The sequence below is a fragment of the Homo sapiens genome, chromosome 8 (genome assembly GCF_000001405.40).
Source record: "Homo sapiens chromosome 8, GRCh38.p14 Primary Assembly".
NCBI lineage: Eukaryota > Metazoa > Chordata > Mammalia > Primates > Hominidae > Homo > Homo sapiens.
In genome coordinates this window covers 60,377,204-60,399,219 of record NC_000008.11, presented here as the reverse complement: position 1 = coordinate 60,399,219, position 22,016 = coordinate 60,377,204, and the positions used below count along the sequence as shown (strand labels likewise).

The window sequence follows — 22,016 nt, the reverse complement described above, 5'->3', positions numbered from 1 at the left end:
AGATGGTTGGATTCTGCCTGTGTTTTAAAGACACTGTTGACAGGATTTGCTTATTGATCAAATGTGGGGGTGAAGGGAAAAGAGGAGTCAAGGATGACTCCACATTTTTGGCCTGAGCAACTGGAAAAAATAAAGTCATTACTGAGACGTGGAAGACTGGGGGCATCAGAAGCTTAGTTGTAGATGACTGCGTTGTGAGATGCCTGCAGGCCATCCAGATGACATGACGAGGAGGGAGTGGCGTATGCAAGTCTGCAGGACATAGGAGATCTGAGCTGGAGATGTAAATTTGGGACTTACAAGCCTAGAGAAGATACTTAAAGCCACGATATGGGGTGACACCACCAAGTGTGGAAAGGAAAGAGAAGTGTGCCGGGAACTGTGCTCTGAGACACTCCAGCCCTTAGGGTCCTGAGGAACCAACGGAATCTGAGAAGAAGGGGAAGGTAGAAAATCAGAAAGTATGGTGTAGGCCAGAGGTGGTGGCTCACGCCTATAATCCCAGCACTTTGGAAGGCCGAGGTGGGTGGATCAGCTGAGGTCAGGAGTTTGAGACCAGCCTGACCAATATGGTGAAACCCCATCTCTACTAAAAATACAAAAAATTAGCCAGACGTGGTGGCATGAACCTGTAGTCCCACCTACTTGGGAGGCTGAGACAGCAGAATTGCTTGAATCCAGGAGGTGGAGGTTGCCACAGAGTGAGACTCTCTCAAAAAAAAAAAAAAAAGAAAGAAAGAAAGAAAGAAAGAAAGCATGGTGGGCTGAGCCTGGTGGCTCTCACATGTAACCCCAACACTTTGGGAGGCAGAGGCGGAAGGATTGCTTGAGCTTAGCAGTTCAGGACCAGCCTGGGCAATACAGTGAGACTCTGTCTCTGCAAATAATAATTAAAAAAAAAAATAGCCAGGCATGGTGGCGTGCACCTGAAGTCTCAGCTACTAAGAGGCTGAGGTGGGAGGATGGCTTGAGCCTGGGAGGTGGAGACTGTAGTGAGCTATGATTGCGCCATTGCCCTCCAGTCTGGGTGACAAAGCAAGGCTTTGTCTCTAAAAATAAAAAATTTTTTAAAAAGCATGAAGCATGGAAGGCAAGTGGAGAAAGTTCTCAATTTTCTACTCATTCATCCTCTCTCCAGATATGGCCCACGCACATCCTCCAATGCAGCTATTTCTTCCTTTCAATCATTTCGTATCCCTCTCCTATTCGTCCTACACTCACGCTCTTCCCCATTTCATTACCTAACATAGGAGTTCTAGTACTAGAATCAGTTTGAGGTACAAAAGTTGAGATTGCATTTTTAAAGTTTTGAGAAAAATAAAGAGTAGGAAAAAAAAAAACCAACGGCGGGATTTCAGACCCCCATTCTTCCACCACAGGCATACCGGTTCTTCCTCTTTTTACTCTGTCTGCATGGTGGGGGTCCTTCTTGATCGCTGGTGGAGGAGGAGAAAGGCCAAACTTAGTTTGTGGATGGGTCAGCGTGGGATAAGATGCAAGCCGACACTGGACTGCTGCTGCGCTGCAGCTTCTCTCAGGCTGGCCCTGAAACACAGAGGTGATAGGAACGCCAAGGGGTGGTGAGTTGGGCAGTGCGCCCCATCATCAACTGAGCGCTAAGGAGAGTGGCAGGGATTCCTGAACTGGGGCAGACGGCTGGGCTGGTGGGCCTAGGCCTGCAAGGAGAAAGCCTGGACCATCAGGGACAAGCAGGTCTGGGGTAGAAGCGAGTGGCTGGGCACTGGCATGAAGGTCTTGGTTTCTCTCATTGGAGCCTGCCAGAGAGCATCCACCATGCCTGAGGCACTGAACAAGCAGGAAGAGAGAAGGGCTCACTCCACAGAAGCCAGCCAGCCTTGTCATTGGCCATCCATGCTGGTGGCATGGCAGCACTGCAGTTGGAATAGCCGTGGTGCCGGATTCCAGGAGGCATGGGCCCATTCTTGAGACTCCGGCATGGAGCAATCCGTCTAAGCGACCGCCTGGGGCAGGTGGATCACATTGAACTCTGTAGCGCCTGGGTGGAAGAGAAAAAATAGGAAAGAAAAAAGATGAACACCTGATAGGATGTCACTGACTGATATGGAGTCCGGTCACCACTACTCTTGGTGTCTTTGTGTCTGTATCACAAACAGGCATGCCTATTTACATTTTATTACACTTTTCAAAATATCCACTAGGTGGAGAACTTGCACCAAGTTTGCCACAAACCGTGCTGCCCCCTCTAGAATCAAGGGAGTTGCATTTATTTATTTATTTAACCATTAATGAAATAAAATGATAGGTTCCAGCCGACAATGAAATGCATTTATGATTCTTCTTTGTGGCCTAAGCTTTTCATACATTTTAGGCCTGAAAACATTATATAGAATTACATTTCTCTCATGATTGACTGTTACCACTGTTGAATGTTTTAAGTAGGAAGAGATGAACTGTGTGAGGACAAGACTAACATTTTCACATAATCGTTTTTGCTGAACACTGCCTCTTGATTAGTTTATTGTGATTTATTCTAAGCTTTAAAAAATTTTCAAGATGGTCTTTTTTTTCTGAAAGTGACTATTGATTGAAAGATAACTGTAGATTAAGAAAACAATTGTATTCATTAAAAAGCCTTATCCATTGATATGCTTTTTACATTTCAATTTTCAAACACCGGGCAGAGGAATTTCTTTCCCTATGCATTGTTATTCTTGCTGATTATGGAGAAAGTTTTATGGAGGTCATAGAATGTAGGTTAATAGAATTTAGTATACCGCGCATTCCTGGTTGCAGCTCCAAGCAGTGGGAATGTGGCCCCAATTTAGCAGCCAGTCAGCCCTGCTGTGAGAACATTGTACCAGGAATCCTTGCTGGCTCTGGAGGCTGCTGCTGTGTAGGCCTGTTTCCTGTCACCAGGGTTCAGAGCCAAGAGCAGCATCTAGTTAGGGTCAACCCTACGCACAGTCATAGCAGGGTCTCCTGAAAATAGCCTAGACCTCGGTCTCTAGCTCTTCAGAGCAGGGATTAGCAAACCAGCCCTTAGGCCAAATCCAGCCCACTGCCTGCACTCCTAAGGCCCTCAAGCTAAGAATCACTCCTACAAGCAAACATCTGCCATGGATTTGGGGATAGGGAATGCTAACTTCCAATCACAATTAGGTGAGCTGTTTTTCCTTCCCCGCCACGTCCATTCTTCCCATTAGTAGACTTATATTACAGAAAGATTATACTCAATTATTATTACTATATTTTGAATTTTATCAATTAAAGTGTGTGGGAATTTATTTTCTCTCTTAATATATAAGTACATACATAATGTCCAAGATTTTACCTCTTGACCTACAGAGTCTAGAATAGTTACTATCTGGCTTTTACAGAAGAAGTTGCTGACAGCTGCTTTAGAGGGATATTAACTTTTTGCACCTCCTAAAATTATAGATAAAATAGTGTGTGAAGCCTGTGAAGCGTTTCTGGAGAGAAGCTACTGCTTTTCTTTGATCTGAAAGGTGACTGTGATTAGCTACTTGTTAAGAACCACCAGTCCCACTGGACAAAGGCCTGTCCATGCCATAGTAGTAGTAATAATAATAATAATTATTATTATTATTATGGTAATAGTAGTAGTAGCTCGAGGTATTATGGGGCCAATACACAAAGATTGATCATGCATGCAAATATGTGTCTCCACAGTGAATTTAGGGGACCAAGTGGAGGGCTGAACTGAATTATTAAGAATTTGAGGACAGTTCTTTAGCCATAAACACAAAATATACAGATGCTCCTCAATCTATGATGGGTTATCTCCCAATAAGCCCATCGTATGTCGAACACACTGTTTAAGTTGAAAATGCATCTAATACTCCTCACCTACTGAACATCACAGCTTAGCCTTGCCTGCCGTCAACACTCTCAGAGCACTTACATTATCCTACAGTTGGGCAAAATCATCTAACACAAAGCATATTTTAAATAAAGTGTTGAAGATCTCATGTAATTTATTGAATTTTTATTGAAAGTGAAAAACAGAATGGTTGTATGTGTATTCAAAGTACAGTTTCTACTGAATAAGTCAAAAACAGGAGTTACTCCCCCCTCCCCTTTTTGAGACAGGGTCTCACTCTCTCTCCCAGGCTAGCATGATCACAGCTCACTGCAACCTTGAACTCATGGGCTCAAGTGATGTTTCTGCCTCAGCCTCCTGAGTACCTGGGACTACAAGCATGAACCACCACGTCTGTCTAATTTTTAAGTTTTTTGTAGAGACGGGGTCTTGTTATGTTGCCCAGGTCTCGAACTCCTGGCCTCAAGCAATTCTCCCACCTTGGCCTCCCTAAGTGCTAAGATTACAAGCATGAGCCACCATGCTTGGCAGGGGCACCCTTTTGTGATGGATTTAAAGAAAAGCACAGACCTCAGCACTGAATATGCTCATAGTTTGTGTCTATAACTGAATGACCTATTGAATATGATTAACTCAGCATTTTTAAACAGGTTACAATTAAATGCATACAATGAGAGTTAATGAAGTTATTTATTCTTATGAATTTGAAGCTAACCTAGCTATGATAGTACCCACAAGGAGTGAAGATATAAATTATGTTATTTGGCATTTTCTGTGTCTCCTAGGGCCTATTCTGTTGTTCTAGTAATGACTGCAAGACTCTGAGAGCTAATGCCTCTTAGAAAGCAGAGAGGGGCAGATAACCCTCTGACAACCAATAGTGAGTCCTTAGAATGCACGTTCAATATTTTAGTCCCATTCAGTTAGAATTTCTGGGAAGCTGAGCCTGTTCTAGGCTTTTCAGATCACACCCACAGGAATATTCAAATAGTCTAAATGAATGTTGACCAAACACACCCTTCACCTTCTTGGTGGCATGTGCCTGTAGTGTCGTGTCAGCTACTCTGGAGCCTGAGGCAGGAGGATCGCTTGAACCCAGGAGTTTGAGGCTGCAGTGCACCATGATAGAAGCTGTGAATAGCCACTGCACTCCAGCCTGGGCAACATAGCAACATCCCATGTCTTAAAAAAAAAAAAAAATCAAAACCCAGAAAATCCCACAATGCCTGCTTCATTTCTGGAGGTGGCTCAGGTTTATCCTTTTTGCAAAGATGGGTGAAAACACTGGGTCTTTATTCCACCCACTAGAAAGAACTAGGGCAGAAAGGAAAACAGATAGGACTATTACCTGTAATCCAAGCCAGCATATTCTTGCCCAGCAACCTGGGAAGTGGTGTCTCAAATGACTGTCTTTTTCTTTTCTTTTCTTTTCTTTTTCCAACAGGATACTTGCTCCACTTTATAAAAAGAAGGAGGATTTGCACTCCTTCTTTGATTGAGCTGTTTATGTTGGTGTGATTTCTGGCAAATGCCTCTGAAGGCTTAGCTGAGTGATTTGGATACAACATTGCCGACTGTTACAATTTAGGAAACTCTCAAGAGATTGCACGAAGACAAAGACTCTGCAGAGAGGCGCAGCCCTGTAGCGCTCGAATGCCCTAATCTGAGTTCTGCTCTGCAAAGTTCCTTCTAATCCTCTTGTACCCTGCTATGGCTAGCAGTCTAGGGAAGGGCAGCAAGAGTGAAAGCTGCAGGATACAGATTTAATTCAATCTAGCAAACATTGACTGAGCACCTCCGATGTGCCAGACACAGGGCTAGGTTCTGGGGCTACAAAGATTAATGGGATATGGTCCCAGAACTCAAGGAGGCCACTGTTTACAGGCAAAGAGCCACATCCACAGTGGATAATAAAACAGAAAAGGGGATGGAAGGGAGTTTGTCACTGAAGGAATGACATGGATATGACTTAAATGATAAGGAGACCTTGACAGGGAGACAAGGGCAAGTGGCCATCCGAGGCAGAGAAAACCTCAGCAAAGTTAAGGAGGTATCAAAGTCCATGGTATTTACGGTAAAAGTTGAAATTACTTTGTCTTGGGGAAAGGTGGGAGAAAAGACTAGAAATGTGGTCTGAGGGGCAATTGTTTGTTCATTCAACAAATATGTACTGCTGGGATATAAGAGCAAAAAGAAACAAACAAATCCCTACCTATGTAGAGCTCACCTTTGGAGGCAGCAGGTGGAGTGGGATGAAGACAGGTAATAAATAAAAAACCCAAGCAAATGATATAGTATATGTTTCAGTTTGCTAAGGTTGCCATAACAAAGTACCACAAACTGTGTTGTTTAGGCAACAGAAGTTTATTGTCTCATAATTCTCGAAGCTGGAAGTCCAAGATTGAGGTGTCAGCAGGGTTGGTTCCTTCTGGGGGCTGTGAGGGAGGATCTGTTCCAGGTCTTATCCCCAGCTGCTGGTGGTTTGCTGGCAATCTTTGGTGTTCCTTGGCTTGTAGGAGCATCACCTAGATCTCTGCCTTCATCTTTGTGTGGTGTTCTTCCTGTGTGTCCCTGTATCCAAATTTCTTTTTATATAAGGACACTAATTGTATTGGATTAGGGCTCACTCTAATGACCCTATCTTTAGTTGGTAATCTACAAAGATCCTGTCTAAGTCCACTTTTGTGTTGCTACAAGGAATACTGAGCTGGGTAATGCATAAAGAAAAAAGATTTATTTGGTTCACAATTCTGCAGGTTGTGCAAGAAGCCTGGTGTCAGCATCTCCTTCTGGTGAGGCCTCAGGAAGCAAAGTGGAGCCTTGCAGAGGTCACATGGCCAGAGCCAAAGCAAGAGAGGGAGGGGAGGAAGTGCCAGGCTCTTTTTAACAATCAGTGCTCATGGGAACTAATAGAGCTAGAACTCAACACTGTGAAGACAGCACCAAACGTTCATGAGGGACCTGTCCCCACGAAACAAATACCTCCCGCCAGGCTTCATCCCCAACACTGGGATCAAACTTCAACATGAGGTTTTGGGGACAAGCAGCCAAAACATAGCAGACCCTCTTTCCAAATAATGTTACCTTCTCAGGCTCTGGGGGTTAAGACTGCAACATTTTTTAGAGAGACTTAATTCAACCCACAGCAGTCTGTGAGAGTGTAATGAGGCTTTGGAGAAACATGAAACAGCAACAGTGTATTGAGGAGGGCATCTGTCTGTGGCACAGGAAAGGAAGAGGTTTGCAGATTTCAATAAGGTGGTCTAGGATATGGTTCACTGCAGAGGAGACATTTGAACAACATCCAGAAGGAGGCGAGGGAGTGAGGTTCACAAATGCCTGGGGGACGAGTGTTCTTGGCAGAGGGAAAAGCAGTGCAAAGGCCTTGAGTTAGAGTGTGTCTGCTGGATGTGAGAGGGGAGGAGGCTGGTGAGGCTGGAGGAGGGTGAGAAGAAGGCCTTATTAAGAGATGAGGTCAGTGATCATGGGCAGCAGGGGCAGGCAGGGTCTTACCACCACTGGGAAGACTTTGACCCTAGTCAGGGAGTGGTGTGGCACAGAAGAGTGAGATAATCCAATTTCAGCTTTAAAAGCTTTTCAGGTCCGGCATGGTGCCCCACACCTGTAATCCCAGCAATTTGGGAGGCTGAGGTGGGAGGATGGCTTGAGCCCAGGAGTTTGAGGCTGTAGTGTCACTGCACAGCTAGGGCAACAGAGCAAGACCTCTAAAAAATCTCCCAAAACAGTTTTAAAGTAACTTCCAAAATGCTTTTCTTAAAATATGAAATCTATTCCATATATTCCTATCAGATGATAGGCATCACCCCTTGCTCCCTCTTGACAACCGCATGATTTTTTTTTTTTTGAGATGTAGTTTCACTCTTGTTCCTCAGACTGGAGTGCAGTGGCGCGATCTCAGCTCACTGCAACCTCTGCCTCCTGGGTTCAAGTGATTCTCCTGCCTCAGCCTCCTGAGTAGTTGGGATTACAGGCATGTACCACCACACCTGGCTAATTTTGTATTTTTAGTAAAGACAGGGTTCTACTATGTTGGTCAGGCTGGTCTTGAACTCCTGACCTCAGGTGATCCACCTGCCTCGGCCTTCCGAAGTGCTGGGATTACAGGCATGAGCCACCGCAACCAGCCAACCCCATGATGTGTTATGGCAGCTGACTTTCCCTGTCCTGGCCCACAAAGCTGTGCCCTCCCTACCCAGAACTGCCTTCCCAGTCTGCCTGCCATGGCTCTTGACCTCAGATTCCATACCTCGTCCTCACTGGACGGTGCCTTTCCTCCAACCCCCACTTCTCTATGCCCAGAAGAAGACTGTCATCGGGAACAGTAACCATGGTTTAATATCCTGCCTTTCTACTGATGTCGTTCACCTTTGTGGAACAGTGGAAAGAGCATGGATGTCTGGGGTGGGCACATTGGCTCACGCCTGTAATCCCAGCACTTTGGGAGGCTGAGGTGGGTGGATCACGAGGTCTGGAGTTCGAGACCAGCCTGGCCAACATAGTGAAACCCCATGTCTACTAAAAATACAAAAGTTAGCTGAGTGTGGTGGCACACGCCTGTAGTCTCAGATACTTAGGAGGCTGAGGCAGAAGAATCACTTGAATCCAGGAGGTGGAGGTTGCAGTGAGCCGAGACCACACCACTGCACTCCAGCCTAGGTGACAGTGAGACTACATCCAAAAAAAAAAAAAATGCATGGATGTCTGAGCCAGGAAGACTTGTATTACAATGATGGCTTTGACAAGTGACAAGTGATCAAAGTGTGCCTTGATCACTCTCTGATCTCCATCCTGATGATGGAGATAGCAATGTTTACTTAGTAGGAGTATTATAAAGGTAGAGGCCAAGTGGTTAGAATCATACTCAGTACCAGACTTGTAAGAGGCACTCAAGAAGTGGAAACTATTAGTATTAAATATTAGTTTGGAGCTCAGGGGAGAAATTGTCTGGAATTAGACTCTCAGGAGTTGTGAATATCTGTGGAAACTTGGGCAATTTACAATTTCCCGGGCAGATGGTATAGAGAAAGAGACAAGGACCCAAGACAGAACATGCACAATTAATTTAAATTTTAAATGACACTTAACATTTCACCACATTTCACCGGTTTAAATTCAACTAATTTAGATTTTATGATATTGCAGGCAAAACTGGGTTGCAACTTACTTTTGTGCTATTTATGAGAAAATTAATAGGGAGAATGTGATTCAGAGTTCCTAATGTGGGGATGTTTAACCTACTTAAACAAGTAAACTTTTTAACGTTTTGTGAGGATCAATTTAGCAGGATCCATTTATGTAGAGACCATGTGCTACTTGAAATGATGTAGAGATGTGAAATTAGAATTTTGGAGTAAAAAAGAATATAGATGATTAGCACAGCCCCCTCATTTTAAAGATGAGAAAATAGAGGAATAAACAGGTCAACTGATTTATGCAAGCCCACACAGAATAAGCCACAAAACGGAGTTGAGAAGCCAGGCCACATGACTCCTGAAAAAGGTTCCTTTGGTTTGGCTGGGCATGAATTTTTGCATTAAAAGTCATCAACATTTTTTTTCTAGGCCACACCTGGTTAGCCATTAGCGTTTTTGCAAATTCTTATTGGCAGTTAAGGGGGTGCTATTCACAAATTATTGTGTAACTCAGACTTACTATTAATTCATGCTGGTGTTCCCAGTGTGATTCTGGAATGGACTACGGGGATTTGGCTGGTTTACTTGGGCAGAGTTGTAAAGAGAGACCAGTACAATGAATAAAATCCTGTTGGCAGTATCACACCAAACAAATGTTCTTTATTTAAAATTAAAAAAAAATTGGCCTCTAAACACTCAATTTAACTCACTGCTCCTTAATTAAGACCATTGTAAGTTTAAGATTTGCTGTCCAGAGTAAATTTTCTGAACCTTAAAGTCTGGCTTGCTTAGCAACTTAGTCTCAGCTAAGATCCAGAGCATTTTATCCACAATACAACATCTTCCCCTTATGATCTCACAACAAGGAGCTATGGGAAATGCACTTTCAGCACCATGGCTTTTCAGGCTTCCTCATTGGCTGAAATATGAACATGCACACATTTATCACACTGGTTGTGTTCTGAGGAAAATCAGCTGACTAAGACGAATGGTCTTAAAGAGTGAAGAGTTTATGCAGATTATTGTTGTTTGTAAAACCTTTTTGGCCCATAGTGTATGAATTCCCCAGAATTCTTATTACTTGACTTCAGGAGAATCTGGAAAGAAGGAATCCAGTGTGATTCATTTTCAAAAGGTCTGTGTGTTTGTTTGTCATAAAAATGTGTACTCTTAGCATTGTTGCTCCAGGCTGCCAAGACAAAATAAATCAGTGTGTTAATTACTTGAATAAAATAACAGTAGAAAACAGCTGCAACTAATGGAAAGAAAACAAATAGAAGTCTTAAGTATTATTCCACTGTGGAAGATTACAGACTATGCCAGAATTATACACATTAAGAAGTCATTAAAAATGGACACTTCTGACCTCTCTAAATCACATGACCACAATTAACTGTATGGACTTCTTTCTACCTGGGAGGAAGCAGACAAATTATGACTTACCCTTTAACATCCAAGATATGCATGACTTTGTCTTTTCTTCTTTTTTTTCCTCCCTTACTTTCTCCTTGAATTTATAATTATGATGGGAAGAAAAATGTAGATAAGACATAAACATATATTTTTGGTCAGAAAGACAAAGAATCTATAAAAGATGTTGGCATGAACCCTACTGCATTCATCGTTTTTCCAAACTGATTCAAACTTCAGCATGTGGCTGGGATGTTCCAGATGCCCCAGGGCCAGTCTTCCATGCTGCAGGGTACTGGAACATGCTGTTCCCTCTGCCTGGAACCTGCCCTTTCCTTGTCTGGTGAACTCTGACTCATGATGCAAAATTCAGTTCAAAGACTTCCTAGTGACCCTCCCTGTAGACCAGGACCCCAATGTGTGCTGTCATTTCCTCCTGTACTTTTCCTTCATAGCCCTTCTCAGACATTGTAATTAAGGATTTACTCTTTAATTTGGTCAATGTCTGCCTCTCCCTCTCAATGGTAAGATCCACAGGGCAGGGTCCTGGGTTGTTTTTCTCATCACTGTATGCCCAGGGCCTGGAATAGTGTTGGATTTTTTTCTTTAATACCAATAGCTGGTTTTAATTTTTTTAAAGGAAATACTACAATTTAAAAAAAAGAGTTCCAAAAAAATTAACAAAATTTCCAGCAATGATTGCTTCTGAAATGTAAAGATTTGAAACATAATCTATACAAAACTAAAAACCAAAAGGATTAATTCTTACTTTTTCCTTTTTAAAAAAATCCAGACAATTTGTCACAAGAAAGTTCAGCAAGTTACAGCAGCTGCAGCCTCAGTCACCCTTGGAATCACTGTCCCTCTTCATGAGGACAGAGCACCACACTAAGGACAGCAACACATCTTCAGTTGGTTTCTTAGGGTTTTCCTCCAAGTCTGTGTTAATTTCTCCAGATTGAGACAGTTTCCACTCCAACTCATCTCTTGTCAGGTTCATGCCGCCAAACACCAGAGGACGGATAAACTGAGGCTTGATATCTCCTTCCAGGTAAACAAATTTCGTGGGCAGATTCCTATCAGGATAATTGGGTGTGCAGGTTGTTGTTGAAATGGCTTTGATTAATTTGACATCAGGAAACTTCCTGGCAAGTCCACTGAGGTGCTGTTTGATCAAGGCACAGAGGGGAAGTCCTTGTTTGTAAAGGTGCAAGATGACCCACAAACCCTCACCAGGTAACTTCTTGAACATAATCCTTTCCTGAGACCTCGAAGACTTCTCCACATTTATTCTTCAGTTTAATTACTTTCCACTCACCCAGTCTCTGCTTTCTGTACATTTCAATAGCATGTTCATTCTTCTCATTACATTCGTCTTCACAACCCTCCAGCTCTTCAAAGTCATATCTTCATATGTTTTTACCACTGACTGCTAGAGGACACACTGCTACTCTTCTGCCTTTTTCTCCAATTCTTTCAGACTTTCCTTGGCGGGAAATTACATCTTCCACAGGGGCATCTTGCCTGCCAAGGAAAGTCTGAAAGAATTGTGTCTGCGTTGGGGTCCTGCATCTTGTTTGCAATCGCTGAAGCCAGTTGTGCCACGGTGCCCCCAACCCTCAGCTCCCTTTTGCCCAGAGTTGGATTCTTAATCAGTATTTGTCGAGTAAAATAACAAACCTCTGCCTGCTCATGCCTGTAATCCCAGCACTTTGGGAGGAGGCTGAGGCGGGAAGATTGCTTGAGGTCAGGAGGTCAAGACTGGCCTGGGCAACATAGTGAGACCTTGTCTCTACAAAAAGTACAAAAAATTAGTCAATGTGGTGGCACTAGCCTGTGGTTCCAGCTATTTGGGAGGCTGAGGGAGAGGATTCCTTGAGCCCAGGAGGTTGAGCTGAAGTGACCGGTGATCATGCCACTGCACTCCAGCCTGGGTGACAGAGCAAGACTCTTTCTCAAAAAAAAACAAAAAAAAACACTTTAACTAACAATAATGCCCACTATTTATGTAATGTTGGTGTGTCAGGTACTGTAATAAATGCTTGCCATATTTTAATTAACTATCACTTCACAAAGTTTTACTTCATTCCCACATATATAACACTATCTTCATTAGTCAGTGATTTGATATAAGTCCAGAGCTCTTCTTTGATTATGAGTTCATTGATTATGAGTCCATTGATTGGAAGTTCTGTAGTTTTTTTTTTTGCATAAAATACATCTATAATGCCTCATTTATAATTTCTAAAATGTCTGGGATATAAGCACACCTGCAATGGAATTTGAGGGCAGAATCTTTTTTTTTTTTTTTTTTTTTTTGAGACGGAGTCTTGCTCTGTCACCCAGACTGGAGTGCAGTGGTGAGATCTCGACTAACTGCAAGCTCCACCTCCCAGGTTCACGCCATTCTCCTGCCTCAGCCTCCCAAGTATCTGGGACTACAGGCACCCGCCACCACGCCAGGCTCATTTTTTGTATTTTTAGTAGAGACGGAGTTTCACCATGTTAGCCAGGCTGGTCTCGATTTCCTGACCTCGTGATCCACCCGCCTCGGCCTCCCAAAGTGCTGGGATTACAGGTGTGAGCCACTGCGCCTGGCCGAGTGCAGAATCTGTTTAGATTTTTAAAACTTCTCCCATACCAATTTTTCTAGCTCATCACCAACAACTGATTTGACAGTATTTTTAAGCGATTTGTCTTTTATTTTTTGCCTTTGTATTTTACGGGTATATAACATGTTTGTTTTGTAATTAAAATAGCAACTAAAATTGGCACATTTAAAAACAAACGCAATTGTATTTTGGTGGTGAACCACTGGCAGGTGGGGCTTTATCTTCCTGTGGGCGTGCTTGCATGGGGGATTCTGGGAGTGTGCGGAAAAGATAATGACACTAAAGGGAGCTGGGAAGATCTTTTTCCCTCTGGAAATGCTGAATAAACTTTGTGTTACGTGCCTGTGTTTCTACTGCGACTCATCACATGAGGTCAGGTGTGAAACTTTCAGCTTTCCACTAGTGGCATCATGTTGGCATTCAAAAAGTTTCAGATTTTAGAGCATTTTGGATTTCAGATTTTCAGGATTTTAGGAATGTGCAACCTATAATAGGAATCTCGGAAGACAGTACAGAAAAAATGGGTGGGAGGAAATATTTCGAGAAATAACAAAATAGGTTTTCCTACAGCTGAATGACACTAGTTTCCCAGAACAATGAATAGATAATAGACTCATTTCAACTTACCACTGTAAAGTTTCCAGAAAAATATTAAAAGAGAACAAGAAATTTCCAGAGATAAAGAAAACAAATAAGCAAAAAAACAAGGTCACTTATAAAAGAACAAAAATCAGACCATCTTTTGAACTTCCCCTCAGCAACCCTGGATTTCTAAGAAATACTGGTATGAACTTCCTCTTCTTTTCTTTTTTAAGAGACAGAGCTGCCCCGTGTTGCCCAGGCCGGAGTGTAGTGATGCGATCTTACCTCACTGCAGCTTTGAGTTCCTGGGCGTGGCACAAGCAGTTCTTGAACTCCTGGCCTCAAGCGATCCTCCTGCCTTGGCCTCCCAAGCTGCTGGGATTACAGGCGTGAGCCACTGCACCCAGCTGGAATGCACATTCTAAGTTACAAGGTAAAACTATTTTCAATCTCACATTATATACTCAGCAAAGCTCTCAATCAAGAATGAGGGTAGAATGAACAGCTCTTCAGGTATGTAGGATTTAGGTTTACTTGTTCCATATAGTTTCTTAGGGAGTTACTTGGAGGACATAGTCCAGCTAAAGAAGGGAGTAAATCAAGAAAGAAGGCATGGGGTCCATCTCAGAGGAATAACAAAATAAGGTTCCCGCATCATAGCTAAGGAGCATATCTGCAGACCCTCAGTCTAGATGGAGGCACAAAGAGGGAAAGATCTGGAAAAATGGGAGGCTGACGATTTGTGGGATCTTTGAGAAACTGGAAAAGTAAAGATTTGATAAAGGCAAGCAATGCAAAGAAGCAACTGAAGCAGAAGAAAGAGGAGAAATAGGAAAAGGGAGAGGAGGAGGAGGAGGAGAAACTCTTAAAGAACACGAAAATTTGGAATGTAATAATAATACTTGGCTGTACAGACAATAATATTACATAGTCATAATAACATAAATACTGTTTGCTGATTTTCAAATTTTCAGATCAAATAACAAGGGAAAGAAGACTTGATTATGTATACACACACAAAAAGAAAGTGTTATCAAAACTGACAAGAAAAAGTAAGTCAAGGTACTTAAAGTAGTGCTGGAAGTTATAAGGTAAGGTGGGGAGAAAAGAAGAAAGAGGTTGGGCGTGGTGGCTCACGCCTGTAATCCCAGCACTGTGCGAGGCTGAGGTGGGCGGATCACGAGGTCAGGAGATCGAGACCATCCTGGCTAACACGGTGAAACCCTGTCTCTACTGAAAACGCAAAAAAAAAAAAAATTAGCTAGGCATGGTGGCAGGCGCCTATAGTCCCAGCTACTCGGGAGGCTGAGGCAGGAGAATGGAGTGAACCCGGGAGGTGGTGCTTGCAGTGAGTGGAGATCACGCCACTGCACTCCAGCCTGGGCAACAGAGCAAGACTCAGTCTCAAAAAAAAAAAAAAAAAAAAAAAAGAAGAAAGAAAAAGATCACTAATAATCCCTTTTTACCACGTGAGAGCTCAAGAGATATTTGCATATTTATATGCAGTATTTAAGTTAAAAGATAATCAAAAGAGGAAGGAACGATTCTTACCTTCAGTGGCAGGAGGGGAGGAGAGAGGAAGGTTGTCGTGCCTTAGAAAGTCCATAGGTGTTGAGACTTGATGTATCAAACTATAGTGATTTAAGCCTGTTATTTAGAGAGCTGGTAACTATCAGAAAAACTAAAAATAAAAAAATTATCATAGTTAATATAGTGCCTCTGATACACAGAATTGAGATTATGGAGGCCTGAAAAAAAGAATTGTTGTTTTTCATTTTAAACTCTTCTATCTTGTTAAATTCGAACATCTTATTAGCTTCATCAGAATTTAAAATATAGCTATTTAAAAATAATGCTAGTGGGCGGAGCGCAGTGGCTCACGCCTGTAATCCCAGCACTTTGGGAGGCCGAAGTGGGTGGATCACAAGGTCAGGAGTTCAAGACCAGCCTGACTAACATGGTGAAACCCCATCTCTGCTAAAAATACAAAAATTAGCCGGGTGTGGTGGTGTGCGCCTGTAATCCCAGCTACTCAGGAGGCTGAGGCCGGAGAATCGCTTGAACCCAGGAGGCACAGGTTGCAGTGAGCCGAAATTACGCCACTGCACTCCAGCCTGGGCGACAGAGTGAGACTCTGTATCAAAATAATAATAATAATAATAATAATAATAATAATAATGCTAGTGAACATATCACATTAAACTTTGGTTACTGCTCGGTTATTTCTTCTATTTTTTAGGAAAAAATTTAACTAGGTAATTATAACAATTCTTATTATTTCTAATACTGAGAAAATATTTCAGCATAGGCATGTGTCTAGGACAGGGGACTCCAAAAGCTCTAGTCGGTCTTTTGTTTTTAGTAAGTCTAGGAAAATGTTTTAATGTTCGGCCACAAGGCAGTCTTTTCAAGGGTGAGATGTTTTTGTAGCTTCCACTATTATTTTCTCCAGAGGACTGCAGAGTGTGAAGACTATAGACAATTGCTGAGTTGCTTCCCGGGGTGTTTCCAGCCAGTGTCAAGGAGATGGCCACCTTTGTGCCTCTCTGGATGGGAGCTGGGGTGCATGAAGGCTTGGTATTTGTCCTTGTACTCAAGGGTGCTAGATGGGGCATCCTGTGCTTTTGCTCAAGTGTCAACTTTCCAGAAAGGCTGTCCTGGGCCCTGCTATCTGAAGAGTGTTCCCTGACCCCACTCTTTTCTATTCCTTTACCCACTTTGTATTTTCTAAACTTCTCCTCACCTGGCATTATGCTACACAGGTTTTGGCTTTTGTTTTTAGATTTGGGGTCTTACTGTTTTGCCCAGGCTAATCTTGAACTCCTGGCCTCAAGCAATCCTCCCACCTCGGCCTCACAGTGCTGGGATTACAGGCACGAGCCACTGTGCCTGGCTGGTTTTTGTTTATTATCCATCTATTCCACACCAAAAAGTATGTACCTTTTGGGGGAAAAATATTATTTTGCTCACTTCTGTATCTGTTGTTCTTTCTGTTATATTTCTGTTTTTTTCTTTCATATTAAGTCTTTGAAATCTGGTGTATATTTTACATTTAAGTTACATCTTTATATTACTCAATAGCCACATTATAAGTGCACATTGGACACAAGGCATGCTCGGGGTAATTCCTGAGTGTCTTCTCAAACATACTCTCTCACTTACTTAGGTCTGTCTTCTGGGGCATTTGGGGGCTTCCTTTCTGGGGAAGCAGATAGGAAGAAGCAATTAGCTACCTGAAAAAGTTGCAGGTTCTAAGAAGCTGTGAAAGTCCAGAGCAACAGCCCTCCTTGGTGTTTATTGGATTTTAAATGGGTTTAGCCTTAAGTTTTCTTAGTGACTGTCATGTCTTTACCAACATGTCTCTTGGTGGTTTTTCTGGAGGTCAGTAACACCTAACTCCTCTCTCCTTTGTTATTGACTGGGCAAAAGACTTCTGAAGTTCCCTGCCTCCTACCTCTTAAGATGTTCTTTCATATCTCTACTGCTGTGTCTTGGGTGACATTAGCTGGTAATGGGGTTGTGCAAAGGGCTGAAACCACAGATTTAGATCCTTCTCCTACAAAACTCCAGATTAAGCACTTTGCTCTCAATGTCCCATTTTATTTACGGAAATCATGTTAAGTCTATTTTTGTATGTCATTTCTAGGACATCCTTATTTAACCGCTTTTGCACTCTTCCTTTTTTCATAAGACACAGGATTGTGTTGATTACAGGAAGGAGGCAACGCTGTCTTGTCATTGCCACTGAACATGATTAGCGTCTGTCTGCAAAGCAGCTCCTAAGGCATTGAGGGAAGGGGCTCATTATCAGAGCGCCAGGGCCCAACACATAGCCATGCAGCAAGGTTTGTTGGGTGCTAAATAAATATTTCCATAACACACTCTAACAACTACTTTTTTCTTTTGGCTAATTACTTGGGAACAATATTAATTATGAGCAACTCTGATAAGTTTCACTTGTAAAATTATTTATTCAACTCTGACATGGGTATTGGGACCCCATAGGAACGGAAGAGCAATCTGAGTATATGTGAACCTGCAGTTCTTCTTAAGTTACCCAGTACTGAAAAATGGAAAGTTTTTGAACATTCTTGAAACATTTTAAAAACTAAGACCTAAAAGCCTGTTAACAGAAATATGATTTAGTTTAGAAAATGATTCATAAAGCTCACGACCTCTTTTTACCTCATGTTACCCCAGTCTGAGCACTGTCTTTTGCACAATTGCTAAGACTAAGATCTTCATGGGAACACTGGGCCTCAGCTGTCAGAACTTTGTCTGCTCTAGGTATTTTTTCTTGAATACGGTATTCCCATTTAACAAGTGTGATGGCTCAGGTAGAGATATGCTGCTGATAGGAAGAAAGGATTTCCTAATAGTGAGTTTTTACTCTGCTTATGGCTGCTTACATACCTGCTGGAAGTCAATTTAATCTTGCAGACTTCTATTTGGCATTTCAGCCACGTTCCCTATATGTTTCCAAATGTCAGTTGTTCTCTCTGTAAAACTTGCGATGAAATTTTTACTAGCACACAAGTGTAGATTCAACCTTTTTGCTTTTTTCTTCGATCTCTATCAGCAAAATGAGGTCTGGGATTTGATGGGGTCATGTCAGAATCAAATTCCCTTAATTCTCATTCTAACACAGTGTTCTATCTAGTTGAAAGGTCTTCTGCTCTCCTGACATTTATTTTTTCTACATGAGTTGTATCTGAGGAGGGAGTATGAGAGTCTTGGGTTTTACATATCAATCGGAAGTGTGTCAGGGATGGCTGATGTTAGTCCTGTCATGGATTTTTAACTACAGCCTATGAGTTGGAAGTTGTAATTATTGAAGGCCTTTATCTAAAATGACTTTGCAAAATACTGTGTTCATTACATTTCCAGATTTTATCCATATTTTCAGTCAAGATTCCTGTTTCATCTTGTAATACACATTTTAGAGTAGCAACATTAAACTATTCATTTGATGTTTACAGCTTGATGGTTCATTTTCTAAGGAACAATTCTGTTTTCTATTTTGTCATTGTGTCTCCAGTGTTTTTTGAACCCATTTTTGTGGCTTTATTCTGGATTGTTTGAAAATGTTTTCCTTCTCTGGGGGGTCTGGAGAAAGAGCCTGAATTTCTCACTATTCAGTTTCTTTACTGGCAAGAATAAAATTATATCTGTAGTGCTTGGACTAAATTATGTGATTTCCTCCTCCTAAGCCATAAACCATAAATGATGTTGAAATCATCTGTTATGGAAACAAAGTTTCATAATCTGAAATATCTGGCTTTAATGGTCATATAATAAGTGGCTGGGTGTGGTAGCTCACTCCTGTAATCCTAGCACTTTGGGAGGCTGAGGCGGGTGGATTGCTCAAGGCCAGGAGTTCGAGACCAGCCTGGCCAACGTGGCAAAACCCCCTTTCTACTAAAAATACAAAAATTAGCCAGCACAGTGGCACACACCTGTGGTCCCAGCTACTCTTGGAAGCTGAGGTGGGAGGATTGCCTGGGCCCGGGAGGTAGAGGCTGCAGTGAGCCAAGATGGCACCACTGGGAAACAGAGGGAGACCCTATCTCAAAAGAAAAAAAAGTTGTATAATAAATGATACTGAGATAACGGTAGAGCTGTCTGGGATGAATAGAAATTTGACTCCAGAATTGATGCCAAAATGAAAGAGTTTGCAGATGGAGGCACAAATAGAGGGTCAATTTCCATCTTTCTGTTTTACATTTTCCCAGGGCATCGTATTTAAGATACATTGGCTTCTTCTGTTTTGCATTGGTAAAGATGGACAGATGGTGAAATGGGATCAAATAACAGAAAGCTGACACATCCTGTTCTCAAGCAGTTTAGCAGGTTCATAGATTAAAGGTTAAGCCCTTTCCCCACCAAGCCTTATCAAGTCTCTGACTTTGCGCCACAAATTTGATGAAATTGGGGAGGCAGTGGTCTAACTGCAGATTGACATGGCTCTGAGCTTGTCACCAAAGAAACATTCCCGTCTGCCAAAATAGTTAACAATAAAATACATAAACAGCCCTTCTTTCCCCTGGAACTAGTTTGTTCTTTTATTTTCTTAAGCTCAAAGTCAAACCACAATATCTTACCAGCACCTTCTGATGGGGTTTATTATTGCTTTTCTTTTAACATGGAATTTTTACATTTGAATTGTTGATATGCTTTAAAATAAAAGTACTCACTTTTTATTGGGCTTGCAAGGGTTCTGCATTTTCTGGAAAGTTTAGGTAGGAACAAAATGCTTACTTTTCAGTTGAATATACCTAAATTGAAAATGACTCAATAAAATTCACACCCTTGGTCCCTGAAAATAAGTCTAATCATTTTATTATATGCAGATCACGTGGTTTAGTTTTATGAACAATGAATGACCTTAGTTGAAAACTGGCTTCCCTTTGAAAGTATTTCCAGAAAGAGGGTCTTCGGAAACAAAAAAACCTCTTAATTTTTAATAGACTCCTCCAACCTACAACTGGCTTATAGTTAACAACCCTATAAAACAGGTAAATCCAGTTAATTACACTGAGGCCAATTCAGCCAATGATCTTAGTGGTTTGATAGATACTTACACTACTTAAAGTTGGGTGCTTAACTGGTGTTTTAATGAGGTGGTTTTGTTTTTTTTGTTTTGCTGAGATATTAGTAAATCAATTTCCCTGCAAAGATTATTGTTTCTATGTTCTGAATAACAGAGCTTTGAGACCCAGCTACTTCTTTTTCTGTGTACTAGAGTAGAAAACCTTGTCTGTGTCCCCCTGTACTCTCTGCCCTCCTCCGTGTAGGAACTGAGGCTTTCTATTCTGTATGTGACCTTTTTAGGTGCCCCTTTTTTTTTTTTTTTGAGACAGAGTCTCACTCTGTCACCCAGGCTGGAGTGCACTGGCGGGATCTGGGCTTACCGCAATCTCCACCTCCCATGTTCAAGTGATTCTCCTGCCTCAGTCTCCTGAGTAGCTGGGATTACAGGCACGCACCACCACACTTGGCTAATTTTTGTATTTTTAGTAGAGATGGGGTCTCGTCATGTTGGCCAGGCTGGTTTCAAACTCCTGACCTCAGGTGATCCGCCCACCTTGGCCTCCCGATTACAGACATGAACCACTGTGCCCGGCTCAACTTGTAAGAATCTGTTAACGTCACTCCTGGCTCAGCTGACTGAGCCTGAAGTTTATGTGTCAGCTTTTAAATGGCAACACAGAATATCTGCATGTGTAAGTCCTTGTCAAGAAGGGTTACCCTGATTCTAGAGCATTCTGAAATAAGATTTATGGAAATTATGGAATTATGCCTGAAAATTTTGCAGGCCATTTCCTAGATACTCACTTTGATTTTCGTCTGAAACTTAAACCTATAGTTTTTTTCCTCCTACAGTGAAATTACTGAACTCTGTTTATATAACATGTCATAAATACACTTTGAAGCAATATTACAAATGACCTTATGAATATTCTTGTTTTTACTATAAGAGTAATGGTAAAGATTAAGGGTACTAAATTAAAGAGAAACTTCCTTATAAAGCTCTATCCATAGGAGATGTTTCTCAGATTTCAGATACTGAGGATGAAATAGATTTTGTTTATGATTCACTTTTTTGAAGTGGCTGCTAGACAGCTCAGAGATAAATATTCAGGCCACCCCAAGCAAGTGCACGTGATTATATGGCATGCATTCTATGCATTAATTTCACTTATAGCTTCATTTTTTCTCTTTCTAACATTATGTTTCTATAAACTCACTTCCTACTTGTTATCTAGTTTCCTCGTACATATTTTTAAAATTTTAAATCTTTCTGGAAGTAGGTAAGGTACAAATAAAGAAATAGCACAGAACTAATTACATTTTTTTTGGGTTTAGAACCAATTAAAATGTCCACAGGGTACGATCCCAGTGGTAGGAAGTGACTCCAGCATTCATGACAGTGGGTGGAGCCTTCAGTAGCTTGGAGGCAGCAGGCTGTGTCCCTCACTAAAGGGACCAGGAACAAGATAGCAATAAAATGACAGGCACAGACAGGATATGAGTCCCCAACCCCCCAAAAAACATCACAGAAGTAATTGGGGATGGGGATGCTTTCTAACGGGATGGGCTATAACTGCAGACGGATCGCGGAGTGAGGGATTCACACTTGCCTACTGTTTGAACAGCTCTATTTTAAACCCCAAATTGGGCTGGCCTAAGGAGACATGCTTTAATATACAAATGTAGCAAGCAATTCTTCAGTGTGGATTTTGAAGGAAACTCTGTCTTCACCAACCTGCTACAAAGACTGACATACCATGATATAAACTTACCCCTGAGGATGAAAGTTTTGTATTTTCAAGAGTCTTTTGTTGAAGATCAGATAAATGAGAAGGTAACATGGTGAGACTTGGCTATCGCTAACAATACGTGGGAAGGAGGGAATATGAAACAAGGCGTGTTGTA

At 41.9% G+C, this 22,016-nt stretch overlaps 1 pseudogene; it reads right to left on the bottom strand.

Moving 5' to 3' along the window:
• Positions 1–11,027: 11,027 nt before the first annotated feature.
• PDCL3P1 (PDCL3 pseudogene 1) lies at positions 11,028–12,019 on the bottom strand (annotated as a pseudogene).